The sequence below is a fragment of the Homo sapiens genome, chromosome 6, assembly GCF_000001405.40.
Source record: "Homo sapiens chromosome 6, GRCh38.p14 Primary Assembly".
In the NCBI taxonomy this organism is placed as follows: Eukaryota; Metazoa; Chordata; class Mammalia; order Primates; family Hominidae; genus Homo; species Homo sapiens.
The window spans coordinates 67,913,577-67,938,537 of record NC_000006.12 but is presented as its reverse complement, the minus strand read 5'-3'; the positions used below and the strand labels follow the sequence as shown (position 1 = coordinate 67,938,537).

Below are 24,961 nucleotides of genomic sequence, written 5' to 3'. Positions count from 1 at the left end.
CTCTGTACCATCCACTTGAGCAATAATATAAGAGGATATCAGGCTGCCCTTTACTGTTTGAGAAGAAACTTCATACTAAGGAAAGTTTGGGGAATAGATATGATTGATACTTCCGTGTATTTCACTGCATTTTTTCTCCTTGATGTCTTTTGCCTTGGGTTGCCTTCCTTTAGTATGTCAATCTAGAGAGTCTGCATTCAGGATCCAAAAACCACTCAACACATTTCTGCCAACTGCACTCAGTGGCTGCTTAATGATTGTTGACTAAATCAAGGTGCTAGGCCTTACTCTAAAAATAGGGAGATTTTTGTTTTATATAACCTTTCTAAAAGTCTCTTTTGCAAGTCTGTGTCAGAAGAAAGCAAGTGGTCAGGGATTTTGGCTTTTGGGATTGTGGTTCTCAGCCAAGTATTATTTTATCCTGACTAACACTCACATTGTGCTTTATCACCACCTGTGACTTCATTCATGGAATTGACTGGGCATCGCAGGGTGAATAAGTGAAACATTACTCCTGTATTTTTGAAAATATTGTATCATTTTATGAATATTTGGAAATGTCAGGGTGAGTGCCCCTTGTGTAATACTTTCTTTTCTTGGTAGCTAATAATAATAATAATAATCCATGCAGATATACCTGTTAGTTGGGAATGAAGCCAAATCATTGATTTAAGATTTCATCATGAGCAGATGCTGCTAGAGGTCTCCCTTGCTTCACTTATTATGAAAATCATGTCTTTAAAAGAAGCATCATATCTCTTAAATCAACTTTAGTTGGTGGTGATAACACAGTAATAAAGTTTATCCTTTGAGTAAAGAAAGGGCAAGAAATTGTGAATTCTGTCTTTTATAAGAACATGCCAGTTTGCTATAATATCTATTCAAATCCCTAGATTCATCAAATGTGTAGAGTTAGCATTTGAAACTTATAATGAACAGCCACACTTCAATTGCAGTGTAGCAAGCGGGAGAGAAAAAATAACGTCAATTATCTGCTTTACTTCAACAAGACTATAAAGTATGTTGTATTTGCCGACTCTGTTTTTCTAGTAACCCTGGGTTATCAGAGATGAAAATAAGAAAAATTTACACCTGGGTAATTGTTTGGGTTACCAAAATGACTACTAATATTAGGTTGGTGCAAATGTAATTGTGGTTTTTGCCATTACTTTTGCACCAACCTAATAATAAAACCAGTGATTCAATTCCAAATAATACAGGTTTAATTTCTACTAATTAATACCAAAACATTACCTAAATTCTTTAAACCAGACTGTATTGGGACACATAATGTCTCTAGAACATTTAGGGCTCTTCACAACATTTTTTTCTATTAATTTTTTATTTTAGAAATAAGTCAAGCTGGGTGCAATGGCTCACGCCTGTAATCTCAAAACTTTGGGAACCCAAAGCAGGTGGATCACCTGATGTTAGGAGCTCAAGACAAGCCTGACCAACATGGTGAAACCCTATCTCTACTAAAAACACAACAATTAGCTGGGCATGGTGGCATGTACCTGTAGTCCCAGCTATTCGGGAGGCTGAGGCAGGAGAGTCACTTGAACCCGGAGGTGGAGGTGGCAGTGAGCCAACATCGCACCACTGCACTCCAGCCTGGGGACAGAGAGAGACTCTGTCTCAAAAAATAATAATAATAAAATAAATTAAAAAATAAGTGAAGATATATCCCCCTCCTTTTATTCAGTTTCATCTTTCTCATTGGCTGAGGAAGATAGATTTCTATCAAAAGATAGATTTCTGCTACCTCAGATTCAATAGTTTAAGTGCTAAATTTTCTTTATATCCATATATCTCATTCATGGAGAAGGTAAAAAACTGAGAAACTCAAAACCAATTTCATTTAAATCTCATTGAACTGTGTATTTATTTGTTTAGGATGCCTTTAAATTATGACTTATGATGAGCTGATTGAAAACCATTTTATAAATATTTGAGTTCTACTACCTTTTGGTCACATTTTAGGTACTGATGGGTATCACAGTAAACAAAAGAGCCATACATATTTGTTCTCATGGAACTTTTATTTATGATTTTGGTTGGAGGCAAAAAATCAAATAAATAAGATATATAATTGCAGGTAATAGGTGTTCAATACTATGGGAAAAAATAAAGGAGTATGGGGAAAAAGAAGTTCCACAAGAATGCCATTATAGATAGGATAAGAAAGTGAATTTTGACAAGAGATGTGAAGAAAGCTGCAATTATCTGAGAAAAATGTATGTCAGGTACTGATAACATCAAGGGAAAAGGCAGAAGCACTCTACGTAGCTGAAGTGCAATGAACTTGAAGAAAATCAGGAGGTTAAGAAAGAGAAGAGGCCAGGAGCTTAATCACATAGTTCATTGTAAACCATGGGGGAGACTATGAATTTTACCCTGATGTGATGAGAAAATAGTACAAATTTTGAATAGGGAAGCAATATAATTTGATGCATTTCCGGCATTTCCATTTTATGATAATAGCCATAAATGTTATTACATGCACATAAAAAGTAGAATAATGGATGAAGTTGGTTGAGCAAATAATATTTAGAATTTTTTCTAAAAAAAAAATTTCCAAAGAATTTAGAGTTTTTTTTTTTTTTTTTGGACAGTTTATCACTGTCTCACTCAGACTGGAGTACAATGGTGCAATGGCTCACTGCAACATCAAACTCCTCGGCTCCTGGGCTCAAGCGATCCTTCCACCTCAGCTTCCTGAGTAGTTGGTACTACCAGTGAGTGCCACCATGCCTGGCTATTATTATTGTTTTTGTAAAGACAGATTCTCACTATGTTGTCCCGGCTTGTATTAAACTACTGGCCTCAAACAATCCTCCCACCTCAGCCTCCCACAGTGCTGGGATTATAGGCCTGCCTGAGCAATGAGCCTGGCCAGTGAGAGAGATTTCATGCGTAGTTCCTTAAAATTGTATGCCATAAAATTCTCTCATAGACTAATTTGTGATTTTGAGGATGCAAAATCATCTATATTTACTATGTCTCCCCTTAAAAGCATTGATTAAAATACATATATATAAGCACACATATGTATTGTATATGTTATATATAAAATGTTTTCTATATATAAATATGTTAAACTTCTTTGGAATATGTATAGGAAATAAATTCTATCCAAAAACCACAAAATATTTTAATAGCAATTACATTTTACATAGATCTCATAAAATATATTTTGAAAGATAAAAATCTAAAAAAATTAATAAAATTATATTTTAGATAGTAGTTTTTTAACTAAAAAGTTTTACATTTAATGTCTTACCTTAAGTTTATATGTCATTGAGATGCCAATGTTTTAATGAAAAAGTAGACAATAGAGTATAAAATTCAGTATCACCTATTTGTCTCAAATAAAAGTACAGTGAGTATTAAATAAGAATGACAATATGGTAACAATAACAGAACTTGTAGGTTTTCCCAAATTGAATTAACTCTATTTATCTGAGTTCAAGGAGTACGGAAAATTGAATGTTTGATCTCTCAGCAGTTATTACATTATCAGTTTAACACTATTCAAACACTACAGACGGCATTTCTCTATTCACATTGACTTCTTAACTAAGTGTGCATATGCTGAGCTATAAATAGTTTTTTTCCATGTTTAGTCTCTAAGCACTAAATACGTAGACTTCAGATCAGTCTATGCAACCCAGTGGCCCTCTCTCCAGAGGCATCAGTAATGCATTTGGTAAATGCCTTGAACCATGAATTGTCAATTAACATAGTTATAATCTTGATAATATGAAAAAAGAGTTCCAAATACTTATTTTTTAAATGATAACATTAGAAAAAAGAAACAAACTACAATTATCATCATTTCTATTTCCTGAAAATTCATTTGAGGCAACCTCTGCAAGTCACAGCTCCACATTTACATACAGTTCTGACCCTCTTTTTGGCTGAGCTGTGGTCAATAAACTCTGAAGATATATCCCCAGAACTTTTTGTTTGATTGTCAAAAATCAACTCTTCTCCAGCATTTATAGTTCTCATGGAACACAGAGCTATTTAGGGAAGGCCAGTGTCAAGTTATCAATGAAAACATTGAACATATGAAGTTTTGGGTCACTACTATGATTCACAAAATGAGATACAGTTCCATATTGAGCTGCATCCTCTGTGAATTCATCAGATTCATAGTCCAGATCATTTGTTGTCATATAACTGCCCTCATCTTTCAGCTTCGTCACTTGTGATTACCTTTCCAACTTATTCCATGACAAAACTTATTCTTTTAATCTTCACATGGGTTTTTACACCCCAGCCATGGTCATTGATACTGTGAAAGATGCAAAGTGAATTACTGTGTGCCTTTTTGTACAATCCTATTGGTACAGTGAGGTCCACATTGACAGATTGAGATGCATTTATAGATGGGAGTAACAGGTGGGATTTTAATTTGTTGGTTTTTACTATAAGCCAAAAGAATTCCAGCTTCACCAAGACAACATTTTTCAAAGAAGCAATCTGTGCATGAACAACAAAAGGTAGCTTCATTTACTAAGCTGATTCCAGGAGCTGGTTTGTATTCATCAATATAGCAGAAGTCTGAAGGTGGGCCTTCTAAGTGAACCCTATTTTCAACAAATATCACTCCTTTATTATTCTGTCTTCTGCTGAGTTCATCTTGCCATCTCTGCAGAACTATCCTTTGTTTGGCCTTCTTTACAATGTACTTGGCAATGGCAGGTTTTGAAGTTTTGTTATTGTCTTTTGGAATTATTGCTTTGCCTTTATTTACCTGAGATAAATAATTATGCTCACTATTAAAGAATTGCTGAAACAGTCATGGGCCCTTGAGATTTTGCAAAGGTTCCTAAGTATTTGTAGAATCTAGCCATCATTTTCATTTTACAAGATAAAATTCCATATGCTTCACTGCCTTGTAGTCACACAAGTAGTCCACCAATAGATTGATTCCAATCTATTTACATGTGTGCTTTTCTTTTCTGCATATTTCCTGAAGAATATCAAGTGTAACTAGCCAAGGCACCATACCAAGCTCCTTTGTGCCTTACCCGCAGCTGCTGCCATCTTGTGGATATTTCATTCAAGGTCTAACAGGATAGCTCAGGTGACCTAATGCCCACCCTTGCTCAGCCCTGTGAGACTTGGGGCTAATGCTGGGGGTCTGGTACCTGAGCATCTTGACATCACTGGAGGCCCACTTGGGCTACAGTGTCCCAATACTGTATTGTTTTAATAACTACTTTACTAGACACTTACTATATGTCATCATCTCTCAGTATGGTACATATATTATTTAATATCTAACACTCTTTGTGTAGGCATTGTTATCTCAAATTTTCAGACAAGGAACTTGAGACTCAGATACAGTAAAATAATTAACCACAACTTGCTCAGATAATTAACATCATGGCTAAGTAGCAAATCAAGTTGTGGGTGATTGAAATACAAAATCTTAAGCACTACACCGTAATGCCTGGCATAGGAATCCATACTATGTATCATAAGCAATATCCTAAGATCATGATATTATATAGATACATTTGACAATCTTACTCTTTAGTACTGGTATTTTTGTATGACAAAGAAATCTACTCCACATAGAACAAATTATATCATTGGGTGATTTTCTTGAAAAGTTAACCTAATCTATATAATTGAGGGCCGTATATATGTAACTAAACTCCACTGGATTAACTCTGCACATTTTGAATTTATTTGAAAATATTTAGCTTTCAATGTTTATTTGTTTCACCTAAGGAGAATATCTCTCTGCCCAATGCCTTACACGATATGAATTATATTATGTGCCACCAAGGACTTTTATTCACTCCCAAACATCAATACACCATTAATTAAAAATTAGAAAAATCAAAAATGTTCATTAAAAAATTAATTTTTGGCAAAGTGCACTATTTAGGGAAACTCTTTGCACTTGTTCTTTCTTCCAATAATACATAGTTTTTTATTGCAAAGATGATTGAAGAATGACCTTAGAACAGCAAAGATTTGGCTGTATCGTCTGATAAGAAATATAAAACATTGTATTAAGTAATAATAGAATATTGCAATACATCTCCCATGCTGTATCTTTATGAATCTGTGCCACTGCTTTATATATTTAAGCACCCAGTAATTTTATTCTTCAATAATCAAAGATGTCTTAATATAACTACTTTATTTAATTTAATGCCTTAAGTTAAATCCCTTATGTTTAATGGGTATTCATATATGTATTTCAATTAATTGTTCCATTTTGTAGTTGTTACCACCTTATAAATGAGCAAAGCATTTTACATTTTTTTTCACTTTTAGGTGAAAACAAGAATAATTAAAAAACTGACACGTTTATTAAGCTCCAATGAAATGACATTTATTTTGACTGAAATATAAAATTCTTTATCATGTCATCCCAGCTTTTTTTCCCCAGCTTTCTTGCCACTATCTTTTGCCAAGCATTATAGGGTCTTATAACATGACTTTGTTCTTTCCCAAATGCTCAACACATGCTCATGCCTCAGGCCTTCATGAGTTTGTTTCTTTTCACGTTGTTCCTTCTCTTGGAATGCCTTCTTTACCTGTTAAAATTTTATTCATGTTTAAGCTGATTTATCCTCAGTCTTTCTTCAAGGAGAACTTATCACTCATTAATTCATTCTGATGAAATTTGAACAATAGATTTATTTTCTGATTCATTTATCTAGTTACTTATCAAATTCTTTATAAGTGCTAGCTACAGTGGGAAATCGAATAGTTAATAGAATATTCATAAATGCTTCATTTACACAATCTTTGTAATACATTTACATTACACGTGTTTTGTTATGATGTCATATTTATCTATCCCTCTCCCAAGAGGTGATGAAAGGATAGAGAGGCTATGGAGTAGAGTTTTTTGCTTATGTTTGTATCTTCAGCACTGAGCATTGCTACCTAATACATTCTTTAAATGTTTAAAGATGAACACATAGCAGCTTTTAAGTTCCATATATCTGAAAAATAAGGAAGTGAGAAGCAAAACTTAGATTTTCTAAATCCTATACTGTCAACTGTATTGTAATGGCTCCAATAAGAATTCACTAGGAATAATAATCATTCTACTGATCTCTCTGTGATTCAACCATTTTTTGTTTTTAATGGATGAAATTCACCGATTGCTTTCAAGCATCAAATTAGTGTCAAGTGTAAACTAGGCATATAAGTGAGGTGTTGCTAGTCCCTTTATTTGTTTTGAATACATTGCTAAGGAGTCCACAAATTGGGGACAATCATTATGGATGGTCAATTGTTTTAATATGTGGTGTAATAGTCTAAACCACATAATGGTTTAATAGTCTAAACCACATAATGGTTTAATAGTTTAGAGAGACGTTAGAAATTCTTTTAACCAAAGACAAAACTAGATCTATAGCACGGGTCAATAAACAGAGAATATTGATATGGTTTTGCTGTGCCCCCACCCAAATCTCAACTTGAATTGTATCTTCCAGAATGCCCACGTATTGTGGGAGGGACCCAGGGGGAGGTAATTGAAACATGGGGGCCTGTCTTTCCAGTGCTATTCTTGTGATAGTGAGTAAGTCTCACGAGATCTCATGGGTTTATCAGGTGCTTCTGCTTTTGCTTCCTCCTCATTTTCTTTTTCTGCTGCTATGTAAAATGTGCGATTCACCTCCTGCCATGATTCTGACACCTCCCTAGCCATGTGAAACTGTTAAGTCCAATTAAACGTTTTTTCTTTCCAGTCTTTGGTACGTCTTTGTCAGCACCATCAAAACAGACTAATACAAACATTAATTATAACTAAAAGAAAACGCCCTCCCCATAAAAAATCCTCTGCAATACCAAAAGAAGTCAATATGTGTGTCTTCACATTTGAATACAGCACATGATTACAAAGATCATAAAGATAATTTTAAAGCTTTTTATACGAATTAGGAAGCTGTGTCTTTTCAGTTACAAGCAAAGGATTACTGAACACTAAAGAGTCTCAATATTATATGTAAGCTATAATTACATGCCTGTGATATTGGCTTATGCTAGTTTTTGTTGTATTAGGTAACAAAAACTTCAAACATGTCTCCAAAATGATGGCAATAATCTTTCCAGTCATCAGATTAAGATAAAAGTCTGTAAGAAAAATGTGTCTACTGATCTAATATATAGATAAAATTTGAAAGAGACTAAAGATAGTAAATGGGAAAAACAAAAGTGTTTCAGTACCAGAATGGCTTGAGAATGGGCCAACATTAAAGACAAGGAAAGGTAATTTCTTTTGAAAAAATTGTAAGCTCTTCTACTGTAATTATTTTAAGCTTTTTAAAATTATTATTACACTTTAAGTTCTGGGATACATGTGCAGAACATGCAACTTTGTTACAAAGGTATACACATGCCATGGTGGTTTGCTGCACCCATCAACCTGCCATCTACATTAGGTATTTCTCCTAATGCTATCCTTCCCCTTGCCCCTCAACCCCTGACAGGCCCCCGGTATGTGTGATGTTCCCCTCCCTGTGTCCATGTGTTCTCATTGTTCAACTCCAACTTATGAGTGAGAACATGTGGTGTTTGGTTTTCTGTTCCTGTTAGTTTACTGAGAATGATGGTTTCCAGCTTCATTCATGTCCCTGCAAATGATATGGTTTTTTTAAGGATGCATAGTATTCCATGTTGTATATGTGCCACATTTTCTTTATCCAGTCTATCATTGATGGGTTGGTTCCAAGTCTTTGCTATTGTGAACGCTGTTGCAATAAACTAACATGTGCACGTGTCTGTATAGCAGCATGACTTATAATCCTCTGGGTATATAACCAATAATGGGATTGCTGGGTCAAACGGTATTTCTAGTTCTAGATCCTTGAGGAATCGCCACACTGTCTTCCACAATGGGTGAACTAATTTATACTCCCACCAACAGTGTAAAAGCCATCCTATGTCTCTACATCCTCTCTAGTATCTGTTGTTTCCTGACTTTTTAATGATCACCTTAATGACTACTGGGTAAATAATGAAATTAATGCAGAAATAAATAAGTTCTTTAAAACCAATGAGAACAAAGACACAATGTACCAGAATCTCTGGGACACAGCTAAAGCAGTGTTTAGAGGGAAATTTATAGCACTAAATGCCTATAGGAGAAAGCAGGAAAGATCTAAAATTGACACCCGAACATCACAGTTAAAAGAAGTAGAGAAGCAAGAGCAAACAAATGCAAAAGCTAGCAGAAGGCAAGAAATAACTAAGAACAGAGCAGAACTGAAGGAGAGAGACACGAAAAACCCTTCAAAAGATCAATGAATCTAGTAGCTGTTTTTTTGAAAAGATTAACAAAATAGATAGACTGCTAGCTAATCTAATAAAGAAGAAAAGAGAGAAGAATAAAATAGACACAATAAAAAATGATAAAGGGGATATCACCACTAATCCTACAGAACTACTATAATTTATTGAAATGTTTAGTTTACATAAATATTACAATTCATGGTTTATGAATAAATTATTTTTCAGGACAGTATCGTTTTTGCAGTAGCACTCACCTACTTCATTTCAGGCACCAGGTGCTATGTAAAAGCGATACTATGGCAATATTCTCTTTTGCGAGTATAAATTCTCCAAACCTTTCATCTTACCTCTCCATTTCACTAAGCTCAAACCTCATTACTTATATTCTTACTCCATCTTGTATTTGATACATAATGTTGGATCCTGATTAGGACAACTTCTTTCTATGATTATAGCATTAATCTTTAGGTGGTGCCTTAGATAATGAGTAGCTCTTTGCCACACCTCCTTCCTAAATATCTTTCCTTAAGAATGGCATTCATAACAGTCTTCTTTAAGCCTCTCTAAGAGCACAGGTATTACTACCTACCTTTGATTTCAATATATGTTGACTTGATAAAATAAAATTTTCATTAATAGAAAAAAAAAGAAATGTAATCCTAAAATGTTCCCCAGTAATGTGTTGTGAGTAAATATAAAGGAGTATGGTAGAAAGAAAGAATGAGGTAGAGGAAACAGAGGTAAATCAGTACAGGTAAGAAAAGTAAAGGAAGACATGCATCAAACAATTCACTCCTATTACATGCATGTATTCCTGCACAGAGTTAGGTCTTTGGATCATATTGACCATTGTGGAATTTAATTTCTTGGAAGTCTGACATCATAGTTTTTAAAGCTGTTTTGTATTTTTATTGATTTATTATTTTTCTATTTTGTTCATTATCAGGTCTATATTTACATATCCAAATCTAGCAGCCAACATTTTTGGATTTCAGGTAAGTTATATAAGGTCTCAATAAAATGTGAATAATAATAAATTACCCAGCAGGGGATATATTATAAATAAATAAAATAACATATATAAATTCCCAGTAAATATACTTAGAAACATTTAATACTTATCTATTATTATTTTAAAATTAGTATCATCATTATCATTATCATGCTATTATTATTGTTATGAAACATTTTTAAGAAACCATCCTTGACCATCCTATTTAAGTAGCATTGCTTTTAATTTAGCTTGTATTACATAAAGGCATATTCTTTATAGTATCTTAGCGCAAATGCAAATAAACTGGTTCTTCTGTTTAATATTTATAATATACCTCTTCATCCTTTCCATGTTGCCATTAGTCTGTCTTATTCATTTTTTAAAGCTTAAAAGAGATTCTTAATACATCTGAATAAAATGATGTGACTATTATAAGTAATGTTTATTCACAGCTTACTACATACCCACCCTAATTCTATAACATTTTATATATTTTTAATTTATTTTACTTAAAACTATCTTATCTCCTTTTTTATATTGTAAAAATTTAGACTTGTAGAAGATAAATGAATTTCCCATTGAATTCCCATTAATAATTTGGAAGGCCAGAATATGAACTCACCTCATGATCAGTCTCAAAGATTCTTTAAGTATTCTGCTATAAATCCTCCTATACTGCCTTTATGCTAATTTCATAGCTATAATAAAGTTACCATTTCAAATGTTCATGCCATGGCAAAAACTAAGAAATTATCATACAAATAAACTAAGGAAAACTTAACATATGCATGTACGCTTTCCTAGTATTTATTCAAAATTAATTTTCCCTTTTATTCTGTCTGAGAACTAAATGACCAAGAAGCAAATGTTCAAAAATAGTGTCCCTCAAGTTTGGTAGATGTTATTAATGACATAGTAAGGGAAAAAGAAACAAAATTGAAAATCAAAGATTAATATTAAAACACAGCCAAATAAAAGCACTTTCAATGTGAATTTGATTTTATGTTATTTGTGGTTGAATGATATTTGGGTTTAATTAAATTTACCTTTTAGACACCTAGATGTAGACTTAAAGTTTATATCGACTGAATCTCCTGTAGGTTTTGTTTGTATTTTGTGAAAGAGTGTCATAATTACTTCAAGATAGTCCATGAGAGTGGACTGATTACCTTCCTTTCTATGTCCAAATGTTGCCTAATTATTAACAAGTATACAATAAAATGATTAAGCAAATCCATAATCTTTTGAAACTTAACATCAATTTGAACTAGCTCCCACAACGTTTGAAGTAGTTCTTTGAAAGTTTTTGAAACAACGTGTCATATAAGACTTACATTTAAATGATGAAAGAATCTTGTGCCTTTTACTACATTTTTACTAAATCTTTGTGATAGCACATATATGGTAATATTCAGAGCCAGAAAGAAAAATGTAAGTTAGAAATGCGGGAAGAAATGACTTTTATAATTATCATTTTTCTCATCAAGTGTTCATAATATTTAAGAAATTAGAATGCAGCTATTAAAGCAGTACTCAGATTTTTTATTTTGCTTTCCAATCTGCCAAATTAATCTGCATGAATATTTGCATATCTGAATGTGTTTATCTATTTGTATCTTAGTCATCTTTGGAAGAATAAAATTATTTTCTTTGGCACATATTAATTTTTATTTCTATAATTATTAAGTAGACAAGGTAAAAATAAAATTCCTTTTGGCAATATCTGAAGAGGAAATTATATTAAATTATTAGAAATTTTTTGGATATTTTTTCATGATTTTGCTACATTTTGAGTAGCATAAAGGAACCACATAGATAGATACTACTATACATATATATGTTTACATACACATACATACATACACAGAGAGAGAAAGAGACAGAGAATACTAAGCTAAATCACCCACTAGTGCCTATAATAGGTCCTCAATGAATAAGTACTTAGAAACCTGAAATATGATGGACATTTCTGGCTATATAAAGGCAAGCAAAAATATCAGTATCAAAAGAATAAATATTTGAAAAAAGAGTAAAATAAATATTTAACTGAAAGTCAAAAAGCAAATCTTTAGTGAAAGTAGACCTAATGACTTAGAGCATTAATATCAAAATATACTGCTCAATTTATATTTACATAATAAGAATTTATAGTCAATTCATTGGGAAGAATAAATCAAATAAACAATAATTTGGAGCAATTTGATTAGAGCCTTTCAAGGAAGCTTAGAAGAATAATTTAGGTTTGATTTATGTGCTAGAGGCTTGAGTTAGCTTTTAGCCATCCCTTTACCACCAGAGTTGGTTTCAAACACAGAATTATAGAACACTCTCTCATTTGATAGGTTTTTTGGTAGAACGAAATGTTATCACTTACTTTTATATGCAAATTTGTATTCTAGCTTTTGCTTCATCAGAGTTAGCAGGGAAAATGAATGTAACTACGAAAGGCTAACAAAAAGCTCTGGATAGAGCTCACATCTCACTGCTGCTGCAGTAAAGTTGATTCATTTAAAATGGAAATCTATACCGGAGTTTGCACTACTTTCTTTAAATCTTTCACTTACCAAGTAGTTGCATACATTTTATATCTAAGTGCTGTAGGGCTTACCTACTTAGGGATAGCTGTTTGTTTAAAATATAGTGGTGATTGAATAGCTAGAAGCCATAACATTTGTCCTGCGGAATAAAACATCTCAAGAGAAAGAAACTGCTTATATGGCTGTAGGGCTATATCAGACACAAAATACACCTTTCTAGCAGTAGCTTCTGAGCTGATCAATGGCAGAATTATGTTTTTAAAAAGACCAGTGCACACAAATGTTCTTTGTAATATTTGATTTAAAAAATACACATTGATGAATAAATTTTGTGTTGTAGATAACAATTAGCTCGATATCTAACTATGTCTAGCCTTATCTTGAGAATATGTATTATGGTAACACAAGTACTTTTCCCTCCATATACTTTTAGGGCAAATTTGCTCCATATGCTATTAAGCCAAAGTTTTTCAGTATTAGTGTTCCTCACAGTTTTTCAGAGTAGAAACTATTTTCTATTTAGAATGCCTTCAGAAGCCTGAGGCTTGAAAGCACTTGCCATAGTCAACAACTTATAAAAATAATACAGCCTTCAGATCTCTGCAAAGTCACAATAGATGAAATATGTTTACACTGGAAACAGAAAATCATGCTATGGTCCAGATTCTTCTGGGATCAATGAGTAAGTAAGCTATAATTAGATACTCAAAGGTAGTTCACCAGAGTTATAAACAAATGCTAACGTTAATGGGTTGTAAGGGAACTCAAGCAAGAACCAATCCTGATGGGATTTAATTATTTACTTAGAACAGAAAAGGTATGGGAGGCCCTGAAGCTGAGAACAACCTCAGAGGCTATTAGTCTAGTTACACAAATTAAAGATCACTTCAATTTTATTATCGAGAAGGAAATGTTGTTGTTGGTGTTTTCTAATGGTTTAACTTACAATCTCTTTCCTTTGTCTTCTTTTTACTTTTCCAAGAGGATCTCTCATCCATTCTCATGATTCTGATACATCTAATTCACATAAGTCTCCAAGTGCTACATATCCTATGACATCGTGAATGTTATGGAAGACTACAGAGGTGAAATGTCATTTTCATCACATCTTATCAAGCATATAAACTATTCACTTGTTGTGTCACACCTGAATTATCACTTTTGTCAAGTTTCCCCACTGTAAAGTTCTTTTTGTTCCTCTTTCCATTATATGATCTCTGGAAGGGAATCACTATGTGACTTCTAATGGTTCCTAGAAAATTTGTTGTTTTTCAGTTTGTTGGTTTTTTGTTTTTTTTCTTGTTATATGGATAAGAGTCTCAAATTACGAGATTTTCTTCATACTGGAATCCTGAAATCTCAGAATGCCTTTTAAAAGTATAAATCAGATAATGTCTTTCTCATATGCTTACTTTATGACATGGCTATCCCACCTCAGGTTGTTTCTCAAAGAGAAAGGATAACTTTTGTTCAGATAGAAATTTGTATGCCAATATTTATAACGGCTTTACTAGGAATCACACTGAACTAGAAACAACACAAATATCCTTCAATTGCTGAATTGATAAAAAACAAAAACAAAGAAAAAAGTGACTGTGCTACAACACTCTTCAACAATGAAAGTAGTGAAGCACCAATACAGGAGAAAACAAATGCATTATGAACTTCCCTTCTCGCTTCATTTCATTCATTTCATCTTCCATCACTGATACCCTTTCTTCCAGTTGATCACATTGGCTCTTGAGGCTTCTGCATTCTTCACGTAGTTCTTGAGCCTTGGCTTTCAGCTCCATCAGCTCCTTTAAGCACTTCTCTGTATTGGTTATTCTAATTATACATTCGTCTAAATTTTTTTCAAAGTTTTTAACTTCTTTGTCTTTGGTTTGAATTTCCTCCTGTAGCTCGGAGTAGTTTGATCGTCTGAAGCCTTCTTCTCTCAACTCGTCAAAGTCATTCTCTGTCCAGCTTTGTTCCGTTGCTGGTGAGGAACTGCATTCCTTTGGAGGAGGAGAGGCGCTCTGCTTTTTAGAGTTTCCAGTTTTTCTGCTCTGTTTTTTCCCAATGTTTGTGGTTTTATCTACTTTTGGTGCGGAGAAAACTGGCTAGCCATATGTAGAAAGCTGAAACTGGATCCCTTCCTTACACCTTATACAAAAATTAATTCAAGATGGACTAAAGACTTAAACGTTAGACCTAAAACCATAAAAACCCTAGAAGACAACCTAGGCATTACCATTCAGGACATAGGCATGGGCAAGGACTTCATGTCTAAAACACCAAAAGCAATGACAACAAAAGCCAAAATTGACAAATGGGATCTAATTAAACTAAAGAGCTTCTGCACAGCAAAAGAAACTACCATGAGAGTGAACAGGCAACCTACAAAATGGGAGAAAATTTTCACAACCTACTCATCTGACAAAGGGCTAATATCCAGAATCTACAATGAACTCAAACAAATTTACAAGAAAAAAACAAACAACCCCATCAAAAAGTGGGCGAAGGACATGAACAGACACTTCTCAAAAGAAGACATTTATGCAGCCAAAAAACACATGAAAAAATGCTCACCATCACTGGCCATCAGAGAAATGCAAATCAAAGCCACAATGAGATACCATCTCACACCAGTTAGAATGGCAATCATTAAAAAGTCAGGAAACAACAGGTGCTGGAGAGGATGTGGAGAAATAGGAACACTTTCACACTGTTGGTGGGACTGTAAACTAGTTCAATCATTGTGGAAGTCAGTGTGGCGATTCCTCAGGGATCTAGAACTAGAAATACCATTTGACCCAGACATCCCATTACTGGGTGTATACCCAAAGGATTATAAATCATGCTGCTATAAAGACACATGCACACGTATGTTTATTGCAGCACTATTCACAATAGCAAAGAATTGGAACAAGCCAAATGTCCAACAATGATAGACTGGATTAAGAAAATGTGGCACATATACACCATGGAATACTATGCAGCCATCAAAAATGATGAGTTCATGTCCTTTGTAGGGACATGGATGAAATTGGAAATCATCATTCTCAGTAAACTATCGCAAGGACAAAAAACCAAACACTGCATGTTCTCACTCATAGGTGGGAATTGAACAATGAGAACACATGGACACAGGAAGGGGAACATCACACTCTGGGGACTGTGGTGGGGTGGGGGGAGGGGGGAAGGATAGCATTAGGAGATATATCTAATGCTAAATGACGAGTTAATGGGTGCAGCACACCAACATGGCACATGTATACATATGTAACTAACCTGCACATTGTGCACATGTACCCTAAAACTTAAACTATAATAATAAAAAAATAAAATAAACAAACAAAAAAACAAATGCATTATAATAAATTAAAGAGTCCATACACTAATGTCAATATACAATATGATATTATTCATTTTATATTGTGTTATAGGCAAAACTATAGGGGCAGACAACAGAATAGCTGTTTATAATGGTTGTGTTTTGGAGGATGGTTTGAAGCAAAAGTGCCTGAAGCCAATTGTTCAGTATGATGAATTTGTTCTACATCATGATTGTGTTGCCAGTTACATGATTATATGCTTTGCCAAACATTCAGAAATATATACCAGCAAGGATTAATTTTACTCCATGTGAATTATACCTTAATATTATATATTTTTACAATGAAAAAACCTACTATATTTAACATTATAAAAGTTCAAGCTAGGAAATTTCCTTTCCTAACACTGATTAATTTTAGATCTTACACATGTCATTTCATACATAATGGCTTAAGTGGTAGAGAGTCTCTTTATTTGCAGTTCAGTGATTTTCAAGGGTAATATTGACGTTAGATTTTTTTTTTTACATACTGACTTTAGAATACCATCTCTGAGTACAAGACAACTCTTCTGAAAACAAATAACTAAATAATATTTTGCATGTCATGATTAGCTTTGAAATGATTACACGGGAAAGGTACCAATCTTAGTTCTGGTGATCTTTAGAAATGGCAAAAATGTCATGATAGGTAAAGAAGAAATAGCCCATAAAAGTGGCCAGAAGGATAAATGTTCCTATTTAAGTAAGGTATTTGAAAATACTTACAGTAGAGTTTATAGTGAGTTTGGCTAATCCAAAATAATTCAGAATTCCTAGAATACAGAATGTGTTTGAAGAAAAGGATAGACATCATTCCTGGAGAAGTAATGAGGCAAGATTTTGACAATTGTCAACGATTTTCTCCTTACTTCTTATCCATAGATTCTTTCCTTTTCTCATTATCTTCTCACCATTTTGAAGCCTGAAACAATGACAGAAAGAATTCTGGCTTAGGGGGTCGGAAGGGCCAGGATTTTGTCATGGGCAACTTTATTAATACATGATCATCTGCTCCAGTACCATTAACTGAAAGAAATGGTTATACATAATAATCTAGTTTATCAAATTCACTTAAACAATTTGGGGCTAGAAATAGTATTATAAGTTAAATCTGTATCACACAATTTCTAAAATAAGTAATTAAACATTTCTTACAAAAATATTTGAAACCATTTTTGTAGGCAAGCTTATAGATTTTAAAATTCGATTTGAACTCATAAATTAGGATAACTAAATTTTATTCTAATTTCAAATAGCATCCCTGTTGCATTTAAATATAATTACAAAAGATATTAGCATTTTGTTAAAACATTTTCTCTCTGAATTCTCTATTATTTTTATAGCAATTACATATTTTTAAAGAACAAATTGAGACCTTAAAACAGGCAAAACTTAGTTTAGACAGCATTTAACTTTCGTCAGTCGTTTTTTAAAATTTTTATTGTTTATAGAAATACTTCAGATACACTTATCAATTTGGCATTTAATTTTGTGGCTGCAAATCAATTTTAATTTAAAATTAAGAGCTACACAAAAACAATAAGATATTGGAACTGATTGCAGGATAAATTGCAGCTGTTTCATTTTTAAAATGTGTATATAAGTGAAATAAATGCTTTCAATACCAAGGTTGTCCATTAACATTTTTTAAGTCTCCTTCCAGAAACATATTTTTTGTTGTTTGTATTGACTTCAAGAATCTGACTGATACATAGAAAATGACCTAGTTTTTTAAAAGTGTTTGGTATGCAATAGTTTTGTTTTCAGGTTGTTTTTCAGTGGATTAAACATAACAATAATAAAAAGGCAAAAACAAAACATGTTAATTTTTTTACATTTCCAACTTTTTAAAAATTTTGCTTTAAGTTCCAGGATACATGTGTAGAAAGTGCAGGTTTGTTACATAGGTATGCGTGTGCCATGGTGGTTTGCTGCACCTGTTGACTTGTCCTCTAAGTTCCCTCCCCTCACTCCCACCCCCAACAGGTCCTGGTGTGTGATGTTCCCCTTCCCTGTGTCCATGTGTTCTCATTGTTCGACTCCCAATTATGAGTGAGAACATGCAGTGTTTGGTTTTCTGTTCCTGTGTTAGTTTGCTGAGGATGATGGCTTCCAGCTTCATCCATGTCCCTGCAAAGGACATGACTTCATTCCTTTTTATGGCTGCATAGTATTCCAAGGTATATATGTACAACATATTTTTTATCCAGCCTATCATTGATGGGCATTTGGGTTGGTTCCATGACTTTGCTATTATAAATAGTGCTGCAGTAAACATATGTGTACATGTGTCTTTATAGTAGAATGATTTATAATCCTTGAGGATATACCCAGTAATGGGATTGCTGGGTCAAATGATACTTCTGGTTCTAGATCCTTGAGGAATCACCATATTCTTTTCCACAATGGTTGAACTAATTTACATTCCCACCAACGGCGTAAAGCGTTCCTATTTCTCACAGCCTTGCCAGGATATATTGTTTCTTGACTTTTTAATAATAGCCATTCTGACTGGTGTGAGATGGTTTCTGATGGTGGTTCTGATTTGCATTTCTCAGATCAGTGATGTCAAGCTTTTTTCATATGTTTGTTGGTCAAATAAATATCTTCTTTTGAGATGTGTCTGTTCATATGCTTTGCACACTTTTTGATGGGGTTGTTTGTTTTTTTTTCTTATTTCAAATAGCATCCCTGTTGCATTTAAATATAATTGCAAAAGATATTAGCATTTTGTTAAAACATTTTTTCTGAATTCTCTATTATTTTTATAGCAATTACATACTTTTAAAGAACAAATTGAGAACTTAAAATATGTAAAGCTTAGTTTAGCCAGCATAATCCTGATTCCAAAACAGAGAAGAGACACAACAAAAAAAGAAAATTTCAGGCCAATATCCCTGATGAACATGGATGCAAAAATCCTCAATAAAATACTGGCAAACCGAATCCAGCAGAAAGTAAAAAAGCTTATCCACTACGATCAAGTCAGCTTCATCCATGGGATGCAAGGCTGGCTCAACATATGCAAATCAGTAAACATAATCCATCACATAAACAGAACCAAAGACAAAAACCACATGATTATCTCAATAAATGCAGAAAAGGCCTTTGATACAATCCAACATCTCTTCATGTTACAAACCGTCAATAAAGTAGGTATTGATGAATGCTATCTCAAAACAATAAGAGCTATTTATGACAAACCCACAGTCAATAACATATTGAATGGGTGTCTGGGAAAAAACTGGAAGCTTTCTCTTTGAATGAAAACTGGTACACGACAAGGAAGCTCTCTCTCACCACTCCCGTTAAATGTAGCATTGGAAGTTCTGGCCGGGGCAATCAGGCAAGAGAAAGAAATAAAGCATATTCAAATAGGAAGAGAGGAAGTCGAATTGTCTCTGTTTGCAGGTGACATGATTTTCTATTTAGAAAACCCCATCATCTCAGCCCCAAAACTCCTTAAACTGATAAGCAAATTCAGCAAAGTCTCAGGATACAAAATCAATGTGCAAAAATCACAAGCATTCCTTTACACCAACAACAGACAAGCAGAGAGCCACATCATGAATGAACTCCCATATACAATTGCTACCAAGAGAATAAAATACATAGGAATACAGCTAACAAGAGATTTGAAGGGCCTCTTCAAGGAGAACTACAAACCAACTTTTCTTCTAAGTTCAGGGGTACATGTGTAGGATGTGCAGGTTTGTTACATAAACATGTGCCATGGTGGTTTGCTGCACAGATCACCCCATCATCTAGGTATTAAGCCCAGCATCCATTAGCTATTCTTCCGGTTCCTCTAGCTCTTCCCATGCCCCACCCCACACCCAGTAAGCCCCAGTGTGTGTTGTTCCCCACTATGTGTCCGTATATTCTCATTATCTAGCTCCTACTAATAAGCAAGAACATGCTCTGTTTGGTTTTCTGTCCCTGCGTTAGTTTGCTAATAATAATAGCCTACAGCTCCATCTATGGCCCCAAAAAGGACAGGATCTTATTTCTTTTTATGGCTGCATAATATTCCATGGTGTATGTGCACCACATTTTCTTTACCCAGTCTGTCATTGATGGGCATTTAGGTTGATTCCATGTCTTGGTTATTGTGAATAGTGCTGCAATGAACATATGTGTGCATGTATCTTTGTAATAGAAAGATTTATAGTCATTTGGGCATATATCCAGTAATGCGACTGTTGGGTCAAATGCTATTTCTGCCTCCAGGTTTTTAAGAAATTGCTACACTGTCTTCCACAATGGTTGGACTAACTTATACTCCCACCAAGAGTGTAAAGGCATTCCTTTCTCTTTACAACCTCACAAACATCTGTTGTTTTTGGACTTTTTAATAACAGCCATTCTGACAGGTGTGAGATGGTATCTCATTGTAGTTTTGATTTGTATTTCTCTAATGATCAGTGATGTTGAGCTTCTTTTTTTTCATATGTTTGTTGGCCGCATGTATATCTTCTTTTGAGAAGAGGAAGAGTATGTTCATGTCCTTTGCCATTTTTTAATGAGGTTGTTTGTTTTTTTCTTGTAAATTTGTTTACTTTCCTTATAGGTGCTAGATATTAGGCCTTTGTCAGATGGATAGATTGCAAAAATTTTCTCCCATTCTATAGGTTGTCTGTTTACTCTGTTGATATGAATAGTTTCTTTTCCTGTGCAGAAACTCTTTAGTTTAATTAGATCCTATTTGTCAATTTTTGCTTAACAAAACATTTTTAAATGCATAAATTATGTGTTATCTATCTCTGGGTGCTGCTTGTAATTGCCAGTGGTCTAGTCAGCATTAAAATGTGAATTATGCTATAATGTTTCATACAGATCTGGCTTTCATGATTAAATGTTTCTCAGCAGAGTTATTGGGGCTATTTAATAAAGTCAATGATGAGAATTAGAAAGGCTGGGTTAAATTTCATCATAGCCAAGCACATATGCCTTATAAAGTGCTTCTTAAGGGCTACTGTGTTATATGATCATTTTCAATAATTTTGCTAGGCAATTGTTTCCCAACTTCAGACAACAACTGTATGAACCCAGAAAGATTATATGTAAGACCTGGCACTATCTCTTTTGATCATTATTAGGAGTTTACATCTTTCTTCTGCATTCATAATAAAATGTCTACATTTATAAAAATATTGCTGTAATAGACTTTTTTATTTTAAAACATTTTTACTTGGAAAAGTATAAAGATTGCTGTCTTTAAAAATAATCAGTAGATCACAAAATGTAACAATTAAGGAACAATCACCACACTTCCTCCCTTTTGGAAGTCAATGTTGTTAGAAAAATAATCTGGGCTTCTGAGGCTTTCTCTGCACTATTTAGTGAACTGTCAAATATGACAATATTATAAATAAGTAATAATCTTTAGAATCTTTCAAAATAACTTAAATTTATATTAAATTTTATTTGAAGCACTTCAGGTGGGAACTCCAATTAAATAAGGCTTGCTGTATACACATTTTTCTCTTTTACCTTTTTCCTAAATATGATTAAATGATATTACAGAAAGCACATGGGCTTAAAATAGTAAAAAGAATTGGAAAGGAAAAAAAAATCAGAAAAGATTTCAACAGATTGTGAGAACACTAAATGAAGAGAGAGGAATGCCAACTGATAAAATAAGTTGGCAGAAGCTGCAGGTTAGAATATTCAGTAATCCTGCCCAAATATGCTTGGGAAGCTTTCGATTTGGAAACACCAGGAATGTTAGAGGCAAGTCATGAGGTTGAAAGCCAAGGAAATTAATTGAAGTTACGCAAAGCATTTAAACCACCAATTTATCTATCTTACTTTATATTCAGAATGTCAAGAAACTATGAGTCAACACTTTTTCTTAAAAATGTCAAATGCACCTTAGAGGAGTGAATTTCTGCCCAGCAAAACAACCAGCCCTAAGCTCCAGCAAAGAAAATAAAGAATAACATTGAACAGATTCTGCCCACATATGGAATTTCTCTCCCATAGTTGCAGGCATCATTGTTAAATACGAATGGCCCATTCTGGATCAACAGAACTTAAAAAAATACAAAATTAAAAAAAGGATAAACAAACGTTTAAAAAATAAAATATGTGACCAAAATAAATAAAAATAATTTCAGAAGCAGAATATGTTTTTTTAAAGATAGTCATTTAAAAAGTCCACAAGGAGAAATTGAAATCATAAATGAGAACAGAATGCTATTTTAAAAAGTAACAAGAGCACAAGAAAAATATTTTAAGACATATATATGTATACATATATATATTTAAATTCAGACATAGACTTAGTTTCAATTTTGATATGTAAAAAGCTTGAAAATTCCATGCTGAACATTAAAAGAAGAGAAAAGATGAACAACCTGAAAATTGACAGCTTTTCTCGGACCATCAGAGAATTAGGGTCCTAGTACAAACCCTCATCTAGATATCTGAAAACAAAACAAAACAAAACAAAAAAAAACGTGAATTTAAGAGAAGCACCAAATGCTGTTTCTTAGAAAATTTCAATATAATTAATAAATTGGTAAACTGAGAAGACTGATATACTTTTGGTCAATTTAACCAGCGGAAAAAGGAGAAAAGATACAGTTTACCGATATCAGAAATGAAAAAGAGGGCAGAGTGTGGTGGCTCACGCCTATAATCCCAACACTTTGAGTGGCCCAGGCGAGTGGGTCGCTTGAGGTCAGGAGTTTGGAGAGAAACCTGGGCAACGTGGCCAAAGACCATCTCTACAAAATATACAAAAATTAGCTGGGCATGCTGGCATGTGCCTGTAGTCCTAGCTACTCTGTAGACCGAAGTGCAAGAATCACTTGAGCCAGGCTGTACAGGTTGCAGTGAGCCAAGATCATGACACTGCACTCCAGCCTGGGCAACAGAGCATGACCTTGTCTCAAAAAAACCAAAGCCAAAACAAAAACAAAAAACAAACAAACAAAAGAACTAAAAAAGAGGGTATCTTTTTGATTCCATGAGGCCATCACTGTTTATTCCATGGACACTACAATTTTAAAACTTTGATGAAATTGATTAACTTATTGAATAACACAAACTTCCAAACTCATGTAGGAGAAATATATAATCTGAAAACACCAATATCTATTAAATAAATTAAACCAAAATTAATAATCTTTCTGAAAAGAAAGCATCAGGAACAAATGATTTTAAGAGGTAAATTTTACCAAACATTTAAAGAATAAATGATACCAATTCTCCACAAACCATCCTAGAAACTACAAGTAGAATGAAGACTTTCCACTCATTCTATGAGGCAAAAATTACCCTAATGCCAAAAGTAGACACAAACATTACAAGAAAGGAAAAGTACAAACCAGTATCTCTCATGAACCTAGATGCAAAACTTCTCAAAAGATACTAACTTATTGGATCCACCAATATATCAAAATAATTATATTTCATGGTCAAGTGGGATTTATTTCACGTATGCAAGACTGGTTCAACATTCACAAATCATTTAATGTAATTCACCAAATCAACAGACTAAAGAAGAAAAATCATACAATCATATCAATTGATGCAGGAAAAGTTTTGACAAAATATAACTTCCAGTTATGATAATCACACTTAGCAAACTGACAATATAGGGGAACTTGCTCAATGTGATTAAGAACACCTACAAAAAATCAATAGTAAATATTATATTTAACTGTGATAAATTAGATGCTTTCCTCTAATATTGAGAACAAAGCAAATATTGCCTCACCATTTTGGTTTCTGTAGCTTTGTATTATATTTCGCAATCAGGAAGTGAGATAACCACTGTTTTGTTTTTCTTTCTCTAGATTGATTTGGCTATTTATGATTTTTGTGGTTGCATGTTGATTATAAAATTTCTTCTTTTTTTTTCTGTAAAAAATACCATTGAAGTTTTGGTGATGACAACATTGTGGATTGCTTTGAAAAATATGCACATTTAAAAAATATTAGTTTTTAAATCTGTGAACACATGATGTCTTTTCATTTTCTTGTGTCTTTTAAAATTTATTTTATTAATGTTTCATAGTTTTTAATATATAAGTCCTTCATCTCTGTAGTTTGTTTCTAATTAATTTATTGTTTGTTAATGAAATTGGTTTTCTAATTTTATTTTAAAATAGTTTATTGTTAATGCACAGAAACACAATTTTTTTATGTTTTAATTTTGTATCCTGCAATTTTACTAAATCCATTTGTTAGTTCTAACATTTTTTAACGGAGTCTTTAAAGTTTCATTATACGAGACCATGCCACTTGTAAACAGAAACAATTCTACTTCTTCCTTTCTGATTTGGAGGTCTTTTTATTTCTTTTTCTCACAAACTGGCAATTTTTTTTCTCACAATTTCTCACAAATAGCCAAGATATGGAAACAATTCAAATGTTCTTTGACAGATGACTGGATAAAGAAAATATGGTGTATACATACAATGGGATATTTTTTAGCCTTTAACATGAAGGAAATTTCATAATATATGACAGCATTGATGAACCTTGAGGCCATAGTAAAATGAAATTAAAGTAAAAACACAGTAAGCGAAATAAGCTAGTCACAGAAAGATAAATACTGCATGATTTCACATATATGAGGTGTCTAAAATACTCAAATTCATAGAATCAGAGTGGAATGGTAGCTTATAGGGCCTGGGGATAGAGGAAATGGGGAGTTACTCATCAATCAATGGGCAAAATATTTCAGTTAAGCAAGAAGAATGATTTCTAGAGATGTGTTATATAACATTGTACCTATAGTCAACAATACTGTATTGTACACTTTAAGTTTGTTAAAAAGGCGGG

The 24,961-nt window shown here is 33.4% G+C and overlaps 2 long non-coding RNA genes and 1 pseudogene across 2 annotated transcripts in view, besides 1 other annotated feature; 1 reads left to right on the top strand and 2 right to left on the bottom strand.

The window, feature by feature from the left end:
• Positions 2,127-2,421: a silencer, noted in NCBI's record as "tiled region #13069; HepG2 Repressive non-DNase unmatched - State 24:Quies". NCBI's record gives its function as "represses a minimal TATA promoter and a strong SV40 promoter by Sharpr-MPRA in HepG2 cells {active_cell/tissue: HepG2}" and the evidence as "EXISTENCE:reporter gene assay evidence [ECO:0000049][PMID:27701403]".
• Positions 3,669-5,075, bottom strand: LOC100128293 (histone-lysine N-methyltransferase SUV39H2-like; annotated as a pseudogene).
• LOC105377845 (uncharacterized) overlaps positions 6,340-24,961 on the bottom strand; it is a 45,225-nt gene continuing 26,603 nt past the window's right edge. The window contains exons 2-3 of the long non-coding RNA XR_942662.1: positions 16,892-17,087; positions 6,340-6,566 (exon numbers count right to left, since the gene is read on the bottom strand). This is a non-coding gene — a long non-coding RNA (uncharacterized LOC105377845). The remainder of the gene's footprint in view (positions 6,567-16,891; positions 17,088-24,961) is intronic.
• Positions 9,831-14,076, top strand: LOC107986610 (uncharacterized). Its single transcript, XR_001744194.1, has 3 exons — positions 9,831-10,271; positions 13,331-13,489; positions 13,790-14,076. It is a non-coding gene; the product is annotated as an uncharacterized LOC107986610 (long non-coding RNA).